The sequence below is a fragment of the Homo sapiens genome, chromosome 12 (assembly GCF_000001405.40).
Source record: "Homo sapiens chromosome 12, GRCh38.p14 Primary Assembly".
In the NCBI taxonomy this organism is placed as follows: domain Eukaryota; kingdom Metazoa; phylum Chordata; class Mammalia; order Primates; family Hominidae; genus Homo; species Homo sapiens.
The window spans coordinates 889783-911667 of NC_000012.12; the positions used below are offsets into that span (position 1 = coordinate 889783).

Consider the following 21885-nt stretch of genomic DNA (forward strand, 5'->3'; position numbering starts at 1 on the left):
CAGTCCAGCCTGTGTGACAGAGCGAGACTCCATCTCAAAAATAATAATAATGTTTTGATTGAAACTGTTTTTCTGTGAATATCCAAGTTATACCCTTAAGCATCCTATGAGAAAAATTAAGAAAGCAATCAAGAATTAAGAGTAGAAATTCATTCTTTTAAAATGTACCTTTTTTTTTTTTTTTTTTGAGACAGGAGTCTTGCGCTGTTACCCAGGCTGTAGTGCAGTGGCACGATCTTGGCTCACTGCAACCATCACCTCCCAGGTTCAAGTGATTCTTCTACCTCAGCCTCCCGAGTAGCTGGGATTACAGGTGCCCGCCACCACACCCGGCTAATTTTTGTGTTTTTATTAGAGGCGGGGTTTCGCCATGTTGGCCAGGCCGGTCTCGAACTCCTGACCTCAAATGATCTGCCCACCTTGACCTCCCAAAATGCTGGGATTACAGGTGTGAGCCACCATGCCTGGCCCTAAAAGGTGCCTTTCTTTACATCAGACTTTTAGACTTTAAAAGAAAAAGGAAAGAAGATAAAATGTTCTCAGACATAAGTGTTTCATCACATATACTGTCTTTCTGCCCTTTTACAAAGACCATAGGAAAGGCAACGAGGCAAAAGTTTGAGTGACTGAAGCTAAAGATTTGTGGTGTCTGTCTGTGTGTGTTTTACAGCCTGTGTCCATGGCGGCTCCAACAGCAATCACAGAAGCAGGAACACAGCCTCAGAAGGGTGGTGAGAAACATCCTTCCTCCTTTTATATTACTAATTCCAGCCCTACCCGTAGTTGATTCAGGAGGTTTACCGTTTCAAAGACACATTTCCACGTATTTGATAACTGAGGAGCATTGGTAGTAATATCTAAAGCTTGAAAGATTAGCAAATTAATAAATCTGTTCCGTTATTATTTGTCAGAGGAAAGGTTATACAGGAGGTAATGATAAGACCCTTCATTATTAGCTATGCCAGATCCTTGCTATTAGAGATTAGGAAATTAAAGCATACTGTATTTAGAAAAGTAAATTTACTGATAACCTCTTAGCTTTTGTGACACTGGATATATAGGGATAGAAGCTTGAATAGTCTGGACATATATTTGTATTGAAATACAAATGTAAGATTTCAGTTAATCAATTTAAACATTTTTATTTTCAAGGCAATTATATTCTCAATTGGCTCTCATTTTAAAAGTGATTTGCAAATCATTAGAATGGTCTAGAAATGGAAAAATGAAAGGGGAATGTAGATTATCAAAATATGTAGAGTATCAAGTATGTACAATGAAAATAATAAAGATTACTACCAATAAAAAGAGAATGTAGAATATGAAAAAGGTAGCTTTTCAAATCATTGGAAGATGGAATATTTCTTTTTTTTTGAAGTGGAGTTTGCTCTTGTTGCCCAGGCTGGAGTGCAGTGGCATCATCTCGACTCATTGCAACCTCCACCTCCCAGGTTCAAGCGATTTTCCTGCCTCAGCCTCCCAAGTATCTGGGATTACAGGCATGCACCACCACACCTGGATAATTTTGTATTTTTAGTAGAGACAGGGTTTCTCCCTGTTGGTCAGGCTGGTCGCAAACTCCTGACCTCAGGTGATCTGCCCGCCTCGGCCTCCCAGAGTGCTGGGATTACAGGCGTGAGCCACCGCGCCTGGCTGAAAGATGGAATATTTTTATAAGTGGTTTAGAACAACTTGAAAGCCATCTGGAAAAAAGCAAAGGTGGATCACTAGCCTAGACATAAGTAAAGTCCAAGTGGACCAAAGATGAAATATTATATCATAAAATAGTACTATATGAAATCATAAGGGGATTTTTTTTCTTTTTTTTTTTTTTTTTAGTTTTTTAATTTATTAGTAATAACAACTTGAGAATTGCATAGTATTAAGGCATCAGTTCTTGGAGTGTGGGCTGAGGACCCTTTTGGGGTGCCTATGAGGGCAACACTATTTTACAGTAAAACTAAGACATTATTTTCCTTTTTCACTATAGACAAAAATTTAGCCAGCTGTGGTGGTGTATGCCTGTAGTCCTAGCTAATCGGGAGGCTGAGACGAGGATTGCCTGAGCCCAGGAGTTCCAGGCTACAGTGAGCTATGGTTTTGCCACTGCACTCCATCCTAGGTGGCAGAGTGAGACCCTGTCTCAAAAAAAAAATCATGCATGAACAAAAAAATGTATAGGTCAATGGATTTTAATGGCCACAGTTATGAATATCTTATTACTATTATTTCAGATCCCACATTATAACTAACTTTTTTTTTTTTTTGTGGCTTGGAAATCTTTTTTTTTTTTAATTTTATTATTATTATACTTTTAAGTTTTAGGGTACATGTGCACAACGTGCAGGTTTGTTACATATGTATACATGTGCCATGTTGGTGTGCTGCACCCATTAACTCGTCATTTAGCATTAGGTATATCTCCTAATGCCATCCCTCCCCCGTCCCAAGGGGATTTTTTTCAACTATCTAGAGCAGGGTTCACAAACTCTTTTTCTGTAAAGGGCGAGATGGTACAAATTTTAGGCTTTCTAGACCATATAGTCTCTTGCAACTTACTCAGATCTCACAAGTAGCAATGGACAATACATAAATAAATGAGTTTGTGTTTCAATAGAATTTATTTACAAAAACAGGCAGTAGGCTGAATTTGGTCCATGGATCAGTTTGGAGTTCTCAGATAAGTTTAATAGAGGTGTTAAGTTCAATGTCTAATCCAGAAGCAAGTAGTAATAGATATAAAATTTTCTTCATGGAAGAAAAGTGCCACCGATTGCAAATATAAATGAAAAACTGGGGAAATATATATATTTGTGGGAGGGGGAGGGGTATGTGTAGTCATATCACAAAAAGAACTCGTTTTGCTAATACAAAGAGTTCCTAAAATTCAACATGAACCAAAAAACAATCAAAAGATAACAGAAAAGGAAACTTAGACATGAAAATATTTAATGTCCGTAATGATAGAAACACAAAGTAAGGCTACAAGTGATAGCAATTCCCACCTCTCATTGGTAAATTCAGGGGTCTAATAGCCACCAGTGACTTGGTACAGCCTCTGGGGGGATCAGTTTATAATAGTGATGTCTACTACAGTCTTAAATGGAAATAATTCAGCACTTTCATTGTGGTATATTTATTGTACAGATCTATAAGAGAATATTTATTTCTAAAATAGCAAGAAATTCTGGGCCGGGCATGGTGGCTCACACCTCTAATCCCAGCACTTTGGGAGGCCAAAGCAGGTGGATTGCTTGAGCCCAGGATTTCGAGACCAGCCTGGGCAATATAGTGAGACCCCCATCTCTGCAAGAAATTTTAAAAATTAGCCGGATGTGGTGGTGTGCACCTGTTGTTCTAGCTTCTCAGGAGGCTGAGGAGGAAGGATCACCTGAGCCTGGGAGGTTGAGATTGTGGTGAGCTGTGATGGCATCACTGTACTCCAGCCTGGGTGACAGAGTGAGACCCTGTCTCAGGGAAAAAAGAAAAGAAATTCTGAATAATTTAAATGCCCATCAGTAGAAGCCTGATTAAATATGAAATATATATATGGTATATACATAGGGTATGACACTATGCAATCATTAAAAAGAATGAGGCATTGATATGGAATGATCTCAAAGATATAGAATTACATGAAAACATAAAAATCGCTCAATGTTCTACTAGCTGTATAAAATAAATATATCTCTAGAAAGAAACTCAAAGCATTGTTCCCCGGAAAGGTTTTTAAATTGCCCAAAACTAAATAATTCTGAGGGCTGGGTGCAGTGGCTCACGCCTGTAATCCCAGCACTTTGGGAGGCTGAGGCGGGCAGATCACGAGGTCAGGAGATCGAGACCATCCTGACTAAGACGGTGAAACCCCGTCTCTACTAAAAATACAAAAAATTAGTCGGGTGTGGTGGTGGGCGCCTGTGGTCCCAGCTACTCGAGAGGCTGAGGCAGGAGAATGGCATGAACCTGGGAGGTGTAGCTTGCAGTGAGCCAAGATCGCACCACTGCACTGCAACCTGGGCAACAGAGTGAGACTCCATCTCAAATAATAATAATAATAATAATAATTCTGAGAACTGTACTATCCTATTCTAGAATTTGCCAGTGTTACATTGAGAAAATAAAATTAGCTGGTTTTCATTTAACAATGGATCTTGGCTGGACATGGTGATTCACACCTGTAATCCCAGCACTTTGGGAGGCTGAGGCAGGCATATTACCTGAGGTCAGGAGTTCAAGACCAGCCTGGACAACGTGGTGAAACTCCGTCTCTACTAAAAATATAAAAATTAGCCGGGTGTGGTGGCACACGCCTGTAATCCCAGCTACTCAGGAGGCTGAGGCAGGAGGATCACCTGAACCCAGTAGGTGGAGGTTGCAATGAGCTGAGATCGCACCACTGCACTCCAGCCTGGCCAACAGAGCGAAACTCCATCTCAATAAAATAAAGATGGGTCCTTAATGTCCTCAGTAAAATCTCATCCTTCATTTCACTTACTTATATATCTGAATTAAAGAATGAGTAATTGAGTTTTTAAAGCCTGTTAACCTTTGTTTTTATAGTATATGTTAATGTTGTAGTTGGTATCTAGTAGTAGAGCAAACAATAACTCTTTTCCCCTGTTGGACAGAGCCTCATGGAGGGAGGAGATAAGGAAGTTCTCTTTGCCTCTAACAGCTTTCCTCATGTGTAGTTTGATTTTGCTGTATTTCTAGCTAAAGGGAAAAGAAGTTAACTGGAAGGAGACACTTATGTTTTCCTCATCCATGTATTTGTTTCAGTTTCTCAAGTCAAAGAAGGCCCTGTCCTAGCAACTAGTTCAGGAGCTGGTGTTTTTAAGATGGGACGATTTCAGGTAAGACAGTCACTTTGTGTTGCCTTGATTCCTTCCTTTGGAGGAGTTGTCTATATAATAAAATTACTGCCTACCTATTTGGGACACAATTGCCAGTCTAGTGATTTCTGTCACATAGTACTTTATAGCTCTTTTTAGCATTTTCCTAATAAAAGTAATATATACTAAATAAAATATAGAAATACTTAGAACAGTAGAGACACGGTAGATAGTCGTACTATCTATCCACCCACCTCCCAAGATTACTTTTTGGGGTGTATTTCCTTCCACTCCTTGTTTTCTGTACAAGTGTTTATCTAAAATTAACTACCATTTCTCCTGTTCCAAATGTTACAGCTTTTTTTCCCATCCAGTAATTGGTTTACCTAACCAGTCTCTATCATCATTTCTCATTTTTCCAACATAATAAGTTAAGTAACAGCAAACATCTTTGTGTATAAAAATGTTTTCCACGTTTAAAATAATTGTCCTAAGATTAATTCTTTAAATTAAAACACATGATACCATATCACTTTATTTTACCAGGTTGTCCAACATGTGAGCATTTTCTGGCTGGGGAGAGTAGGTGATATTTTTCTCATTTGTAAACAGGTCCTGAACCTTTATAGGTGGGCTGAGTTTGTATTTGTAAATACATGGACAAACCAGAACAAGGATCTGGATCCTCTTTTTTAGTTACCAGTTAGTTGTGTTGATTCTTGAGGCATACCAGGCATTTAACATTTACCTTGTAGTTTTTCTTATTCACAGGCAACCCTAAAAATTCTACAATGCCTTGCTAATTTATTTTATTTATTTACTTTTATTTTATTTTTTTATTTTTATCTATTTATTTATTTTTGAGACGGAGTCTCACTCTGTCACCCAGGCTGGAATGCAGTGGCATGATCTCAGCCCACTGCAGCCTCTGCCTCCCGGGTTTAAGTGATTCTCCTGCCTCAGCCTCCCAAGTAGCTGGGATTACAGGCACACGCTACCATGCCTGGCTAATTTTTGTATTTTTAGTAGAGACAGGGTTTCACCACGTTGGCCAGGCTGATCTGAAACTCCTGACCTCAAGTGATCCACCTGCTTCAGCCTCCCAAAATGGTGGGCTTACAGGCATGAGCCACTATGCCTGGCCCTGACCTTTTGTTATGTATATGTTGACTAAGACATAAATCTGAATTCTGTGTATGACATCAAATACGAAAGTAAATTATTTACTTTATAAGCGTAGCCAGCCACACAGAATCTGCATCTCAGTACCCATGTGTTCTCTATGATGGTATTCAATTTTTCTTCCTAGTCAAAAGTGGAGGCGCTATGTAAAGAGACAATCAGCCTACTCTTTGACAGGGAAATAAAGTGATTCTTTTTTTCCTTTTTTAAATTGTCTGTGATAGAAATTGGATATTGAGAACTTAAGTTTTTAATCTTTGTCCTTTTTTATCAGGTTTCTGTTGCAGCAGACGGTGCCCAGAAAGAGGGTAAAAATAAGTCAGAAGATGCAAAGTCTGTTCATTTTGAATCCAGCACCTCAGAGTCCTCAGTGCTATCAAGTAGTAGTCCAGAGAGTACCTTGGTGAAACCAGAGCCGAATGGCATAACCATCCCTGGTATCTCTTCAGATGTGCCAGAGAGTGCCCACAAAACTACTGCCTCAGAGGCAAAGTCAGACACTGGGCAGCCTACCAAGGTTGGACGTTTTCAGGTGACAACTACAGCAAACAAAGTGGGTCGTTTCTCTGTATCAAAAACTGAGGACAAGATCACTGACACAAAGAAAGAAGGACCAGTGGCATCTCCTCCTTTTATGGATTTGGAACAAGCTGTTCTTCCTGCTGTGATACCAAAGAAAGAGAAGCCTGAACTGTCAGAGCCTTCACATCTAAATGGGCCGTCTTCTGACCCGGAGGCCGCTTTTTTAAGTAGGGATGTGGATGATGGTTCCGGTAGTCCACACTCGCCCCATCAGCTGAGCTCAAAGAGCCTTCCTAGCCAGAATCTAAGTCAAAGCCTTAGTAATTCATTTAACTCCTCTTACATGAGTAGCGACAATGAGTCAGATATCGAAGATGAAGACTTAAAGTTAGAGCTGCGACGACTACGAGATAAGTAAGTATATTTTCTCTTGTGAAAGAATGTCAGATAAGGTTTTCAGACCTAGATCCCAGGGCCAAGATTAATAATATTTTTCGCCACAATATGCTAATGTCTCATTTCTTTTAAAGAGACAGTGCCACAGAAGCCCCACCCCATACCTCCCCACCACACACACACACACACACACACACACACACACACACACACACACACACACACGATTCCCAACCACTGACTCACAGGCACAGGCAGCTTCTCTTGCACTCATACAGACCCATAGCATTTCTAGTTCTAGAACTTCTTCATTGTTACTATATTATTACTGTATTATTGTTACTGTATTGTATTATTATTTTTATTAATAGCATATTGTATCACTATTAACTGCTCTTTATTTATTAGTCCACTAAATGAATCTGGCACTGGGATGTATGATTATTTGGCACGTTTTGTTTGGCAGATTGGGTCAGAGTAGCAAATTCAGCTATTGTGTGCGTGGCCTCAAAAGTCAGGAAATGTTTTTCTCCTAAAACATTATCAACCATTTGTTGTTGGCTAGGAGCTTGTTGGAACATGGCTTGGGTAATGCAGGCCAGCAAGGTGAGTTGACAAACTAGAATCTCGTGGTAGTACATTTGGGGAAAAGGTTCATTAGTAACTACTACATACTTGAAAGCAGGTTTAGGAATATGCTGTTAATTCTTGTCTGAATGAAGAGGATTATGGTATTTTGAATTATGTTTGGTTATCTTTCACAGACATCTCAAAGAGATTCAGGACCTGCAGAGTCGCCAGAAGCATGAAATTGAATCTTTGTATACCAAACTGGGCAAGGTGCCCCCTGCTGTTATTATTCCCCCAGCTGCTCCCCTTTCAGGGAGAAGACGACGACCCACTAAAAGCAAAGGCAGCAAATCTAGTCGAAGCAGTTCCTTGGGGAATAAAAGCCCCCAGCTTTCAGGTAAAAAGCCCTGGACTAGGTCAGCCACAGCTGTCCTATCTTTTGTTTCTGTCTCCAGCTGTATGTGACCTGCTGAACATTTGTTGTTTTTGTTAAATTTCAAAGGAATTTGGCTCTCCTGATATTTTTGCTTCCTTGACTGCTGTACTTACATTTATTGTACCTCTTTTTGAGTCTATAGAAGTAGACTTAGTGAATACAATGGCTTATTCCATTGTAATCCATATTGCTATCTACTGGTAATCTTTATTTATAGTTATTCTTAAGGATAGACATTTAGCTTTGCCTGTTAACTCGTATAACTCACATTTAACCAAACTCTTGGGCAGTTGGAAGAAAATACATTATTCTCTGTTTAGTAAAACTTGGGTAGATTCTTTGTTTTAATGGATGACTTAGTCATAATTGCAACTTAGATGAATGTAATCGTCATATAGATATTTGTGTGTATGTCTAAGTGGTAACTTCTTGATTAAGGTTTTTATTTCATTTATATTGGGTTAAAGAACTTGCTAGTCATTGGTTAGGCACGGTGGCTCACGCCTGTAATCCCAGAACTTTGGGAGGCTGAGGCAGGCAGATCACGAGGTCAGGAGATCAAGACCATCCTGACTAACACGGTGAAACCCTGTCTCTACTAAAAATAAAAAAATTAGGTGGGCATGGTGGCAGGCGCCTATAGTCCCAGCTACTCAGGAGGCTGAGGCAGGAGAATGGCATGAGCCCGGGAGGCGGAGCTTGCAGTGAGCTGAGATTGCACCACTGCACTCCAGCCTCGGTGACAGAGCAAGACTCTGTCTCAAAAAAAAAAAAAAAAAGAAGAACTTGCTAGTCATTAAAATCAAAGAAATAGTTAAGTGATACTCTTTTGTAATGTAGTATATATATATATTTATTTATTTTAAGAGACAGGGCCTCACTCTGTTGCCCAGACTGGAGTGCAGTGGTGTGATCATAGCACACAACACAACAGCCTCAAACTCCTAGGCTCAGGTGGTCCTCCTACCTTAGCTTCCTGGGTAGCTGGGATTACAGGCACACACTACCATGCCCTGCTAACTTTGAATTTTTTTTTTGAGACAGAATCCCGCTCTGTTGCCCAGGCTGGAGTGCAGTGGCACGATCTCGGCTCACTGCATTCTCCGCCTCCCAGTTTCAAGTGATCCTCCTGCCTCAGCCCCGCATAGTAGCTGGGATTACAGGCACATGTCACCATGCCTGGCTAATTTTTGTATTTTTAGTAGAGATGGGGTTTCACTATGTTGGCCAGGCTGGTCTCAAACTCCTGGCTCAGGTGATCCACCCACCTTGGCCTCCCAAAGTGCTGGGATTACAGGCGTGAGCCACCGTGCCCGGCCCTGGACTATATTTTAATTGGGATAGATAGAGAGTTTCTAATCCTTTGGTGAAATTATGGTAGTGTTAACACAATTAGTTGAAAAGTAAAAGAAGGTTAAAATATGTTAAAAAGCAGTTGCAAACTTCTTAGCAGTTCCATTCTCTGGAAAGGTTCACAGATATCCAAATGTAGCACATTAGGGCCAGTTCATGCAGCCCATTAGTAGAGATGTGATTGTAAGAGAAATCAGCTAATTTCTGATCTGATCCCAATCAGATCTTTTTTGTTTTTGTTTTTGTTTTTTTGAGGCAGAGTCGGCAGTGGCTCAACCTCCAACTCCCAGGTTCAAGCAATTCTCATGCCCCAGCCTCCCAAGTAGCTGGGATTACAAGCATGTAATCCCAAACCAAATGTATAAGAACACCTGGCTAATTTTTGTATTTTTGTATTTTTAGTTGCACTATGTTGGCCAGACTGGTCTGAAACTTCTGGCCTCAGGTGATCCGCCCGCCTCAGCCTCCCAAAGTGCGGATTACAGGCATGAGCCACTATGCCCAGCTATGATCCTAATCAAATTCTAATCCTAATTTTGACATACTTTTTGAGTGGACTTGAATTCAACTGGGAACCGGGGAGCAGAGAGTCAATTTTAGGACAACCGACCTATTGAAAGCAACCTACCAAAAATAATTTTAAACACCCATTGCTCTGTAGTGACCTCCATCATTTTTGAACACCTCTTTTGTATTTGCTCTGATGCACGTTTATAGGAAAGTCTAAGCAGAGACTGCCTAGCAAACCTTTTTGTATAATGATTCAACACATTTTCTAATAGGGTAAAAAAAAAAGCAATCATGGAATTGCAGAATGGAATCTGGGTATCCACTAGGTACTCTGGTCTTCTTACGCTGCTCAGACATGTGGCCCATCTAGGTTTTCTAAAGCTAAAAAGCTCTGGAATAGTACATATGGCCCTATTACCTATGGATTCTTTTCTTTTTTTTTTTTTTTTTTTGAGTGCAGTGGCATGATGTCGGCTCACTGCAGCCTCTGCCTCTGGGTTCAAGCAATTCTCCTTCCTCAGCCTCCTGAGTAGCTGGGATTATAGGCACCCTCCACCACGCCTGGCTAATTTTTATATTTTTAGTAGAGACAGGGTTTCATCATGTTGGCCAGGCTGGTCTCGAACTCCTGACCTCAGGTGATCCGCCCACCTTGGCCTCCCAAAGTGCTGGGATATTATAGGCGTGAGCCACAACACCCAGCCTATCTATTGAGTCTTAGTGTCATTCCTCACTTCTCCCGTTAGTGAGGACTTTGTTCTTCTCATCAGTTTGTAGCTTTTGACCCATCATTCATCACTCAGTGGAACAAACCAAATGTATAAGAACAGTGCCTGATGAGTGCATGGGAAGAGCTGGACATGTTTCCTCATGCCACTTTATCTTTTGGCAGGTAACCTGTCTGGTCAGAGTGCAGCTTCAGTCTTGCACCCCCAGCAGACCCTCCACCCTCCTGGCAACATCCCAGAGTCCGGGCAGAATCAGCTGTTACAGCCCCTTAAGCCATCTCCCTCCAGTGACAACCTCTATTCAGCCTTCACCAGTGATGGTGCCATTTCAGTACCAAGCCTTTCTGCTCCAGGTCAAGGTAATAAAGCAACCATCATCGTCCAAAAACAATAAAATGGAGATGTTGCCATACCTGGGACAAAAGCCTGTTAAGGCGGGTTGGGAGACTAGCTGACCAGAACACAGCCTGTGTGTTGTACACTGAAGAATCTGGGTGAAAAGGGAAGTGGAGTGATAATGAGAATCGGTGGGCTCACTGCTCCCATTAGGTGAAATTACTTTTTTTCAAGGAATTACAGTGAAAAGTTACATCTGTGTGGCCTATATGACTTGCTCATTTGGGATTTGGAACTTAGGCTTTAATATTAGGCTGAGATTTCCTGGATGAAATTCTAAGGTGTTTTAGCAGTTTCTGAAGCTAATACATTTTCTTAGCCATTGTAGAATTTTGTTACTTTTAAGTATGGGAGTGGCATACTAAAATGAATAACCTTACAATTCAGTTTTTTATCCATAATCTACTTTCCAAATATAGCTCTGTTTATTAGTGATTGCTGAAAAAATTCCCACAGAGGAAAGAGCTTTTAGTCATATTAGAACAAGAATTGAAAAGACTTGGGCATCTGGGTGAGAAGAATGAAAAAAATATAGGTACTGGCTTATGTGCCTTTGCCACAGTTTCACAGAAATTAGAGATCAGTCTCTTCACAGGAAGAATGCACTTGATTGGTAAGGAGGGCAAACTAGCTAGCATTATTCGAACTAAGAAAAGCTTCCGCATTTTGCAGATGGGTAGAATTAAGACCTAATATTTCATCTCTTACATATCTGACCTTCCCCCCAGAAGCTTGTTCTTCTGTGTGCCATCTTAGTGCATTTCACCACTCCAGCCTCAAGTTTCTAACATCTTGTAGTTGTGTTCTGTCTCTTCTCCTCTCTCTGTTCTACCCTGTTTTTCCCCTCTCACAGGCTGTGCGAAGTTTAACTGTGCATCTGAACAGGTGACATTCAAACCTGGTGGCAGGAGGACCCGATTTCTGAGTACGCCCTGCTTGGCTCTTTGTGTGTAACACCTTTACTCCTTCCTTGTCCTTGTGTTTCTGCTGCTTGGATCTGATGTTTCACGCAGTCCATTTTCATTTGTCTCTTTTTGTATATCATCTACTCAGTGGCTTGGCTGAATTACTGTTACCCTCAGAAGTTTGGGCCCCCACATTAATTATGATAAAAAATGTCAAAATAACAAGTTATCTACAAATTTCAATGTAACTTTCTGGTAGAAGTGCTTCTTCATGGATCTGTGACAGAGAGTGGATATGGTATCTAGGCAATAGATTGCTGGGTCATTTAGAATAATGAAGACTGAACTCCACAGTCGTAGTCAGTGCTGTCTGTCTGCCCTAGCATTAGAAATGAGAGAAATCAGCCAGACACGGTGGCGTACACCTGTAATCCCAGCACTTTGGGAGGCCGAGGCGGGAAGATTGCTTGAGGCCAGGAGCTCGAGACCAACCCTGGGCAACATGGTGATACCCCATCTCTAAAAAAAAAAAAAAAGTTAGCCTGGCATGGTGGTGTGCACCTATAGTCCCAGCTGCCCAGGAGGCTGAGGCGGGAGGATTACCACCTTAAGACCAGGAGGTTGAGACTGCAGTGAGCCATGATTGCACCACTGCACCCCAGCCTGAGCGACAGAGTGAGACTCTATCTCAAAAAAAAGAAACGAAATGAAGAAAGCATTTTGACCAATGATGCTCTTAGATCCTGGCAGCAGGTAAAAATTATGTACCATTTTTTTCCATTCTTTGTCAGAGTAGATTGAAATCTTATTTTTCTTCTCTATTAAGCCTAAGCAGCTACCAGTTGAAAAGATGCTAGGATCTCTTCATTGGATCATTCCACCACTACTGTCCTCTAACCCCATAAAATCAAAAGCGGTTTTTAGTTTGGTTATTCTGATAAAGCACTTAGTCTAATAAAGATCAAAGCCCAGCATCTGCAAGTGAAAATTCTCCTTCTAACATGATTTCTGGGATTTTGCAGCTTTCTACTTAAAAACAAGGCACAATAGCAAGTCACCCCATCTTCCCCATATGTGAAATGGAGATGATGCCAGTGTCCTAGGGCCATCGTACAAATCAAGCTAAGATCATGTACAGAGAAACAGGTAGCGCTTGAAAAGCACTCATGGTTTCTCTCTGATGAGTCAGTGCCTACCTGGCACAGAACAGGTAGTCAATAACTGTTCGTGGAAGAACAGTTTAAAACAAACAAAAACATAGTTCAAGTAGAAAAACCTTTGTTATAATTTGAATAAAGATCTTCTCTGTTAAGGCCTCAAACTTCTGATGTGATTATTGAAGTGCTTTTTACATGCATGTGCTCAGGCCATCACTGTTTCTGAGTATGGGTCAGAGGCCCTTGGGCCTCTTCACGGTGGGAAGAATTTACAACCTCCCTTTGTTCTCTGTAGTGACTAGATTTAAAGCGAAGCATATGACACGTTTAACTGCCATTTCCCTCACACATACCCCTGTTATTTTTACCTGCATTAGAAATGGATTGGCTCCTTCCAGCACCCCTATTATTTGTACCTGTATTAGTAATGAGTTAGCTGTACTTGAGAGGCAGTCTTTACTGACTTTCCCCACATGCACTAGTCCCAGGCTGTTTAACAAAGAAGCGGGTGGAAGGCATTACCCAATTCGATCGTTTTCCAGGCTTGTGTGATTTTTTTTTTGAGGACTCAGATCAATAATTTTTCTGGTCAGACTTTCCTGGACTGTGCATATTAGCACTTTGACAGTTGAATAAGCATTTAATTTGCATGTCCACCTAGAAAGTTGCAAGGGGGGTGTTTTTGAAGTAGAATGTGACATGTCAGGCCTATGGTCTACAGCCTGAAGTGTCTGAGAGGGAAGAAAGAGAACCAAAGCTTCTGTTTCTGAAATATAATGTGACAAATACCACTTTAATTAAATTCCATAAATTCTCATCCCACTTTTAAAGGTAGGTGGTATTACCCCTGTTGTTCAAATGAAAGTGGTCAGAAATATTGAATCTTGTCACTTCCCTTTGGGTGCAAAATGAAAGGCCCTACATCCTTAGAAGTCACATCAGGATACATCATGTAAGCCTGGTAAACAAATCCCAAGAGACATACTTGAAATATGGAAAGGAAACAGGTACTTGAAAGAGTAGGGCACCTTACTAGCTTGAGATGTATTATTCTATGCTCTCAAAATAGATAATGGTTTGGAAGCACGGCTTGGCTTACTGCTATATTTATGTTCAGAGGTTGCTTGTTTTCCACGTACTTTTAAAAACTATTCTGGAAGGGAAGGGGTTAGTATATATATGTGGGATGTGGAAATATAATAGCCAATTTAAATGAACTTAAAGCTGTAACAGTGATACTATCAGTCTACTGTGGTGGGGTTGCTAATGCATTTAACTGAGTGCTTTTTAACAGCCCAGCTGGAGAAACAGGAAGTGGGACAGGATCAGTGGAAACGCTGCTTGGGTATTTGAAATTCAAGCAGTGAGACCTGAGAGACTGGAGTTCCTCGCCAATTCCAGAACCTCAGTGCAGGGCATTACTCTTTTAGATACAAAGATTGGGTGTAGAAACTCCACATCTGTCAGCCACGTAACACAGCCCATCAGATAATCATGTTAAGGCTAACAGCCAGTTCGAAACATTCTGTAGAACTATATCTGTTCAAGGGCTACCAGGTCCTACCTATCTGTCTCACCTCCTGCTTTCTCTTGCTGGGCGTTTGTGTGCTGTTTGGAGATTCTAAATATTTTACACTGATGTTTCTTTATCTTTAACACATTGCTTCTCTCTTTGTGCTTCAGGGAAGATGGTGAAAAAAGTCTGTCCTTGCAACCAGCTCTGTAGTAATTATCTTTTCTGTTATTTTTGGTCCTTGATTGCAAAGCCTGTTAACCATGAGTTCTTTCAACTCTGCAGTCTCATAGCTCCCTGATTCCTAACTTCCATCTATCTCTGTATCCTATTCTAATAAATATTTAACATGCTTAATTGAGAAATCATCTCCTAGTCGGTGCCCTCAGTGATAACCCCATGTGAGCCTAGCTTGTGACAGACATGGATTGGTAATGGCCATGGGTATATATAGGGAGGTCAGGGATGCCTAGTTCCTATGGGAGAGCGATCCTTTGGTCAGCAAATATGTGCCGGGCAGTGTTATTACCCCAACTGGAAACTCAGCAGTGACGAAAGCATACAAAAGTCCATGCCCTCCCACGTTCACACTGAAGTGGGAGATGTGTGCTAGATTGACGAGGAGAAAAACACCACTTTCTAGAGTTTGTCTTCTTAGACTGTGGCTTCTCATACTTTAATGAGAAGGCCACTTACAGTGTTGTAGGTAGGGTCAACAGGGAAATTCTGTACTTGGGATGTTGGGCTGTAAGTTATGGTTCATAATAGGTTATTGTTAGTAGGATCTGGTGATGTGGGAATAGGGGAAATGTATTATAATGGCAGGAGGAAATTTAAAAATGAATCTTGGGGGTAAGTCTATACTACTTATTAGGGCTTTTCAGAAGAACTAAAAAAGGTTAAGAAGTTAGCATATTCTCTCAAAGGCCTTTCTACATCTTTTATAGTCAAGTCTCCTTTTCTTAGGAGTTAATTTCTGGTCAGAAAATGATAGGTTTGTTTCATTCTTTAATGGGAGGCCTGTATACAGAAGCCAGAACGTGAAGGTTTAGCTGTATGGTTGACTCTTCCTCATGGTTTCTCTTTCCTCATAGAGAATCCTGTATTAGGTAATGTAGGGTAAAATGAAAAGTGAAATTTCGTTCTAAAGGGGCCTCGCAGCATCAGGGGCGACAGACTAGAGAGGTGTGTCTCCCAGCATGAGCTCTGTGGATAAGCAATGGTCACGCCTCCTGAGCTTCTTGTATTTAGCTTTTGACAGCTCTGCTCCCCTGTGATTATTTCTGTTTTTTGTTTTGATTGTCTCTCACATCAAGCTCACCAAGCAATAATTGTTCAAACAGGATGACAATCCCCATGCATGTGATATGCTTGCTTTCTAGATTGAGTCACTCACTGTCATGACTGCCCATCCTCATTGCCTGTGCTTCCCACTTCACCACTCTCTCACATTGGCTGTTCATGGAAGGCTGTTTTCTGTGCTCTCATGCTTCTCCCCTCGCGTTTCCTGTACTGTAGGGAGCTTACTCTTCCCTTCACACTGTATGTGCAATAGCAATCCCCTTGTGGCTCCAGCAGACACCAAGAAATGAGCTGACACTCACACTGCAGTAGTTCCGTGTCTTGCCATAGCGGTAAGAAGCATGTGACCTTCCTCACTGCAGCTTCACCTCAGAATTAGCTGTTACTGCAGCACAGACCTGCTTGTGTGTGCCATTCCCCAGGTGGTAGGATATAAGCTTGACTTGAGACCAGCGATGGTCAGTAACAGGCTTTGAAGTGGCAGGATTGCGTTAGGTGTGCTGCTGTGATCTGGTGCTGCTTTGACCTTGAAAGCAGGATAACGCATGCACTTACTTACCCCCGCATTACTTGGGTACCTTAAGGACTAGTGGTTCACAACTTACTTTAGGAGCTTTTATTTATTCTGTAACACGTGAGATCTGGTAAGACAGTGGGGGGTAAGGAAAACAGACAAGACCATGACTCTTCTTTCCCTCTTCCCCAAAACGTGCCTCTTGGAATAATCTTCAGTGTGCCCTCCAGCAGAGCCGAAATCAGGCAGGCATAGACTCCCTCCTCTCTCATCAAACCGCAGAAATAGAGTTCCTTCATCATAACCGCAAAGCTTCCTCCTCCCCTTTGCACCCTGCCTCAGCTGCATTTTCTTGTCGCTTCTACATGGGAGTGCTTGCTGTTCTGGGAAGAGTGGGGAGAAGCGGTGGGAATCCTTGAGCCAATTGAAACTGAGGTCATCTTCAGGAAAACCATGTCTTCCTGAAGTTGAAAGATTCAGGCACACCATACAGTCCTTTCCTCATGAATAATCTTGTTCTTTACTCATGGGAAATTGGGAGAGGTTAACCCCTCCCAAGTTTATGTTTGCAAATTCATGTTTATGGGTCCAGGTGAAAAACTTTTCTGAACACAGCATGCTACTTCTCTTATTACCTCTCTCTATTTAAAGAATGGCTAGGCTGAGCATGGTGGCTCACACCTGTAATCCCAGCACTTTGGGAGGCTGACATGGCAGGATTGCCTGAGCCCAGCAGTTCATGACTAAGCAACATATGGAGATTCTGTCTATATAAAAAAGTAAAAAATTAACTGGGTGTGGAAGTGCATACGTCTAGTCCCAAGCTACTTGGGAGGCTGAGGCAGGAGGAGTTGGAGGCTGCAGTGAGACGTGATTGTGCCGCTGTATCCAGCCTGGGTGACAGAAAAAGAAGAGACCCTTCCTTTAAAAAAAAAAAAAAGCCGGGCGTGGTGGCTCACGTCTGTAATCCCAGCACTTTGGGAGGCCAAGGCGGGCGGATCACCTGAGGTCAGGAGTTCTTGAGACCAGCCTGGCCAACACGGCAAAACCCTGTCTCTACTAAAATACAAAAATTAACTGGGCATGGTGGTGCACACCTACAATCCCAGCTACTCTGGAGGCTGAGACAGGAGAATCGCTTGAACCCAGGAGGCAGGGGTTGCAGTTAGGTAGGATCGTACCACTGCACTCCAGCCTGAGTAATAGAGTGAGACTCCATCTCAAAAAAAAAAAAAAAGGCTAAAGAATGTGGCAGTGTCCAATGGTTTGGAAACCCACCTTCTCCTTATCCTTAGCCAAGCATCTTTTCCTACTCCTACTTTAACCGTGCCCAATGCACAAGAAAACCTCTTTTTCCCTGCATTCTGCAAAATTCCAGAGCAACTAGCCTTGCTGATTGTATCACACCTCCATCAGCAACGTGATGCTGGGAATAGCGTACTGGCGAGCAGTTCCAATACTCTTAGGTGCTTTGTGAATGGACTGAAAGAGGCCCCTGCCTGTGTACCTACCGTCATCCTGAGTTGTTCAGCCTTAGCAGCAGCTACTGAAGAGAAACTGTTTTCATCACCCTATTATACCAAAACAAATGGCTAAACAAAACCTTGGAATCTTCCCTCTTGCATGGCTTCCCAGTTCATCCTCTTCTCATTCTGTGGCTTGCCATTCATCATCCCGTGAAGTTTTCCCTCTTCCTGAAATTGTAACCTAGGCTTCTTTTAATGCTCGTATTCTGTTGCTTATAATAGGAACCAGCAGCACAAACACTGTTGGGGCAACAGTGAACAGCCAAGCCGCCCAAGCTCAGCCTCCTGCCATGACGTCCAGCAGGAAGGGCACATTCACAGATGACTTGCACAAGTTGGTAGACAATTGGGCCCGAGATGCCATGAATCTCTCAGGCAGGAGAGGAAGCAAAGGGCACATGAATTACGAGGTAAGTCTCTCTTTTGCCGCAGAGAATCCGTAACACACATCTGAGTCAAGGTGATAGAAACAACTAAGCTGCTGCTTAACGTCTTACGCCACGACCTTCTTCAATTTTAATACTTTAGAAAAACAAGGCAAAAATCCCCCAGGTACCCTTTTATTTTTCCTTCCCTGAATTCCTAACCTCTTGTTGGTCAGCTCAACTTTTTCTTCTTCGTTTTTCCTTCGTCATCCTCAACTACACACACACAGACACACACGCACATGACATCCCTCCCTCTCATGAGGATTATTTTCACCCTTACTTGGTAAATATAAAGAGCCAATAAATACTACAGAAGACTGTTCTGCTGTATCTTACAGGATTATACTAGAAGTATATGTTAGCGCCACACATTTTATACCATGGCCCACACCAGACTTGACACGTGGTGGTTTTGTTTTCAGGGCCCTGGAATGGCAAGGAAGTTCTCTGCACCTGGGCAACTGTGCATCTCCATGACCTCGAACCTGGGTGGCTCTGCCCCCATCTCTGCAGCATCAGCTACCTCTCTAGGTCACTTCACCAAGTCTATGTGCCCCCCACAGCAGTATGGCTTTCCAGCTACCCCATTTGGCGCTCAATGGAGTGGGACGGGTGGCCCAGCACCACAGCCACTTGGCCAGTTCCAACCTGTGGGAACTGCCTCCTTGCAGAATTTCAACATCAGCAATTTGCAGAAATCCATCAGCAACCCCCCAGGCTCCAACCTGCGGACCACTTAGACCTAGAGACATTAACTGAATAGATCTGGGGGCAGGAGATGGAATGCTGAGGGGGTGGGTGGGGGTGGGAAGTAGCCTATATACTAACTACTAGTGCTGCATTTAACTGGTTATTTCTTGCCAGAGGGGAATGTTTTTAATACTGCATTGAGCCCTCAGAATGGAGAGTCTCCCCCGCTCCAGTTATTGGAATGGGAGAGGAAGGAAAGAACAGCTTTTTTGTCAAGGGGCAGCTTCAGACCATGCTTTCCTGTTTATCTATACTCAGTAATGAGGATGAGGGCTAGGAAAGTCTTGTTCATAAGGAAGCTGGAGAACTCAATGTAAAATCAAACCCATCTGTAATTTCGAGTGGGTGGAGCTCTTGCTTTTGGTACATGCCCTGAATCCCTCACTCCCTCAAGAATCCGAACCACAGGACAAAAACCACCTACTGGGCTCTCTCCTACCCTGCCCTCCTCCCTTTTTTTTACCCCTCTCTTTTTTATTTTTTCTTTGCTCTTTAGAACCCAGTGAAAAATACCAGGGTACTGGGGTGCAACTCTTTCTTATGATAGGTCATTAGTGCTTTAAGCAAAAGATATTAGCAGCTTTGACTGCAGCATTAGCAATTAGGAAAAAAAAAAAATTAAGTTCCCTGCGGACATGTAACTTTGCCATCAGTTTTGATGTGGAAACACTGTGATATATAAAATGTTGTTGGACAACAGTAGTTTTAAGAGTAAAATATGAAACGTTTAAAAAGTTCCAAAAAAAGCTAGCTCTGTCCTTTACTTATTGAGACACTTTAACTTTTTCCTTTGTATTTCCATTGTATTAGATAAATAAATGTGAATGTAAAATTGTATAAATTACTGTACTTGAATACTTCTGTTTCCCAGTGTTGCTTGCTGGACATTTTAGTGCCTTGGACTTCTATTGCTTCTGCCATTAGCATCAACTTACCAGACCCCAGATCAATAAAGGGCATGTGGAAGGAAATCGTAGGTCCATGTGACCCCAGCAGTCCAGCAGTGGTTATGCCAAAGGGAAATTGAAAAAGTATTTTTTTAAGTCATTCAACAACTTTGTCTAGAGCAGGTGTAAGATGAGTAGGGTGGGAAGTTAGGTTGGCATCAGTGGTTAAAAACAGAAAGTTCTGTTTCGGGAATAGTGAGGAGGGGGTGTTGTAACAAAATTGGACAACTTAAAAGAATGGTGTGTGCTGGGTGAAAGACAAAGACTAAAGAATGAGGAAACAAACGTGATGCCTGGCCAGTGACTGTCATATAAACCTTTCTTATTTGAGCTAGGCTTGAACAGACGTGACCTAGAAGAAACTGAACATAAAGAGAAGGGGGTGGGGGGCTAGTTTTCAAGTTGGGGAACCTGATAGTGAAAAGTCACAGATGGAGAAAATTGCTCTCAGAAAAACTGTTTGGATTGCTTTCCTCTTGTTGCACATGTACCATGCATTTCTCAGCTTGGGGTACTACATTTTGTGGAAAGTTAATCTATCTATCTTTCCACATCTGAATTAATCATTCTAGGAAAGAATACTTATTCCTACTCATTTCCTTTATGATGTCCAAATGGTTGCAGGATCATAATCTATTGTGCCACCTTTATTTCTAGAAGTACAACTAATATGTTCACATTTTCAAATAAATAATACTCCCCGTAAGTAATAACTGCAACCAATCAGTGTTATTCAGTGCTATGCCTCCTTGTAATGGGTAGTTATTAATTATTTTCAGAGCTTTCCGGAAATACTGTCCTAACTGGCTATGTTTAGGATCTTTGTTATCTCTGAAGACAAAGAAAGAAGCTAGGACTCTTAATTTTGGGGTGCTTCTTGACTCTTAGTTGGGAAACTGAAAATATTTCCAACCTTTTACCCACGTCAATGGCATATTCTGGGAATCACCACCACCACCACCACTACCACAGAAAGAGGCTGGAGGCTCCTGTACCCTGTTCATTCCTTAAGGGCCCTGCTTCCCTTAGTAAGTAAGTAAGTTGGTCTACGGCCCTAAATATGCAAATGAGAGCTGAAGGTTTTTAAAAGGTAGAAAGGAAAAGGGCAAGGGCTTCCACCCCTGCTTTAAAATGATTTATTTATTCTCTGCTTGTATTTCTTGTGGAGAGAGTAAGGATAGAACCAACAAGGGGCTGAGTAGCTGAGAAAGGGGCCACCCAAGAGTGAAACATACTTTATACCAGAGGAGCAGTGGAGCCTCATGCAGCACATTATCATTTGTTATTTGGGTTTAATAATAATTTTGACATCTTTTCACTCATACACAAAAAAAGTCAGAACTGGTGTTATTTACTGTTGATTTCATCCTCCTGTGTATGAAATAACAAGCCTAGAGGAATGAACTAGTGCTACTGAACTGTTTAAATTATTTTTGTGTTAATAGTACACTTTGAGTATCTTTTTCCACATTAAAAACTTTCTGAATTATAAATGTTTTCCTTACATTATTTAACAATGTACACTGTTAAAAATAAAAATAAAAATTCAAACTTTGGGGGTTTCTCAGCAGCCGTTAATTGTACATTTTGCACTAACTCTGGGTGTTGCGCTTCTTGTAAGATTGCGCTTTGTGCTTCAGTTTGTTACCTTTGTAGACTTATTTAATGAAACCATTCAAATAAACCAAACTTGCTTTTGTTGAGCTGTGGGGTTTCATTTCCAGAAGATTCCTTCACATTCTCACTGGCACTATTTTGAGTTAAGTGCAATTTATAACTGGATCCCTAATTCCTGGGAGCTCCTTTGCTGTCTCCTTAACTTCGAAAGGAATAGAAACGGTCGGCTGCCGGCTAGTACTTTCAGACTTCCTTATCTCAGGTTCACAGCTTCCCAAATGGGTCTGAGCCAAAAAATAGG

General features: G+C 41.7%; 1 protein-coding gene across 51 annotated transcripts in view, besides 1 other annotated feature; it reads left to right on the forward strand.

Moving 5' to 3' along the window:
- The window catches only part of WNK1 (WNK lysine deficient protein kinase 1), a 158874-nt gene extending 137204 nt beyond the window's left edge, over window positions 1-21670 (forward strand). For 24 of the 51 annotated variants that reach the window (NM_213655.5, XM_011520997.4, XM_011521001.3 and 21 more), the window contains 7 exons: window positions 671-731; window positions 4780-4853; window positions 6289-6950; window positions 7697-7899; window positions 10694-10888; window positions 18065-18252; window positions 18693-21670. In NM_213655.5, coding sequence (NP_998820.3) covers window positions 671-731; window positions 4780-4853; window positions 6289-6950; window positions 7697-7899; window positions 10694-10888; window positions 18065-18252; window positions 18693-19010 — 1701 coding nt within the window. In that variant the 3' untranslated portion in view covers window positions 19011-21670. The remainder of the gene's footprint in view (window positions 1-670; window positions 732-4779; window positions 4854-6288; window positions 6951-7696; window positions 7900-10693; window positions 10889-18064; window positions 18253-18692) is intronic. The other 27 variants (XM_011520999.3, XM_047429375.1, XM_047429376.1 and 24 more) reach the window with 3 other exon arrangements.
- Window positions 15882-15981: an enhancer, noted in NCBI's record as "active region_5792". NCBI's record gives its function as "activates an Ori minimal core promoter by ATAC-STARR-seq in GM12878 lymphoblastoid cells {active_cell/tissue: GM12878}" and the evidence as "EXISTENCE:reporter gene assay evidence [ECO:0000049][PMID:35858748]".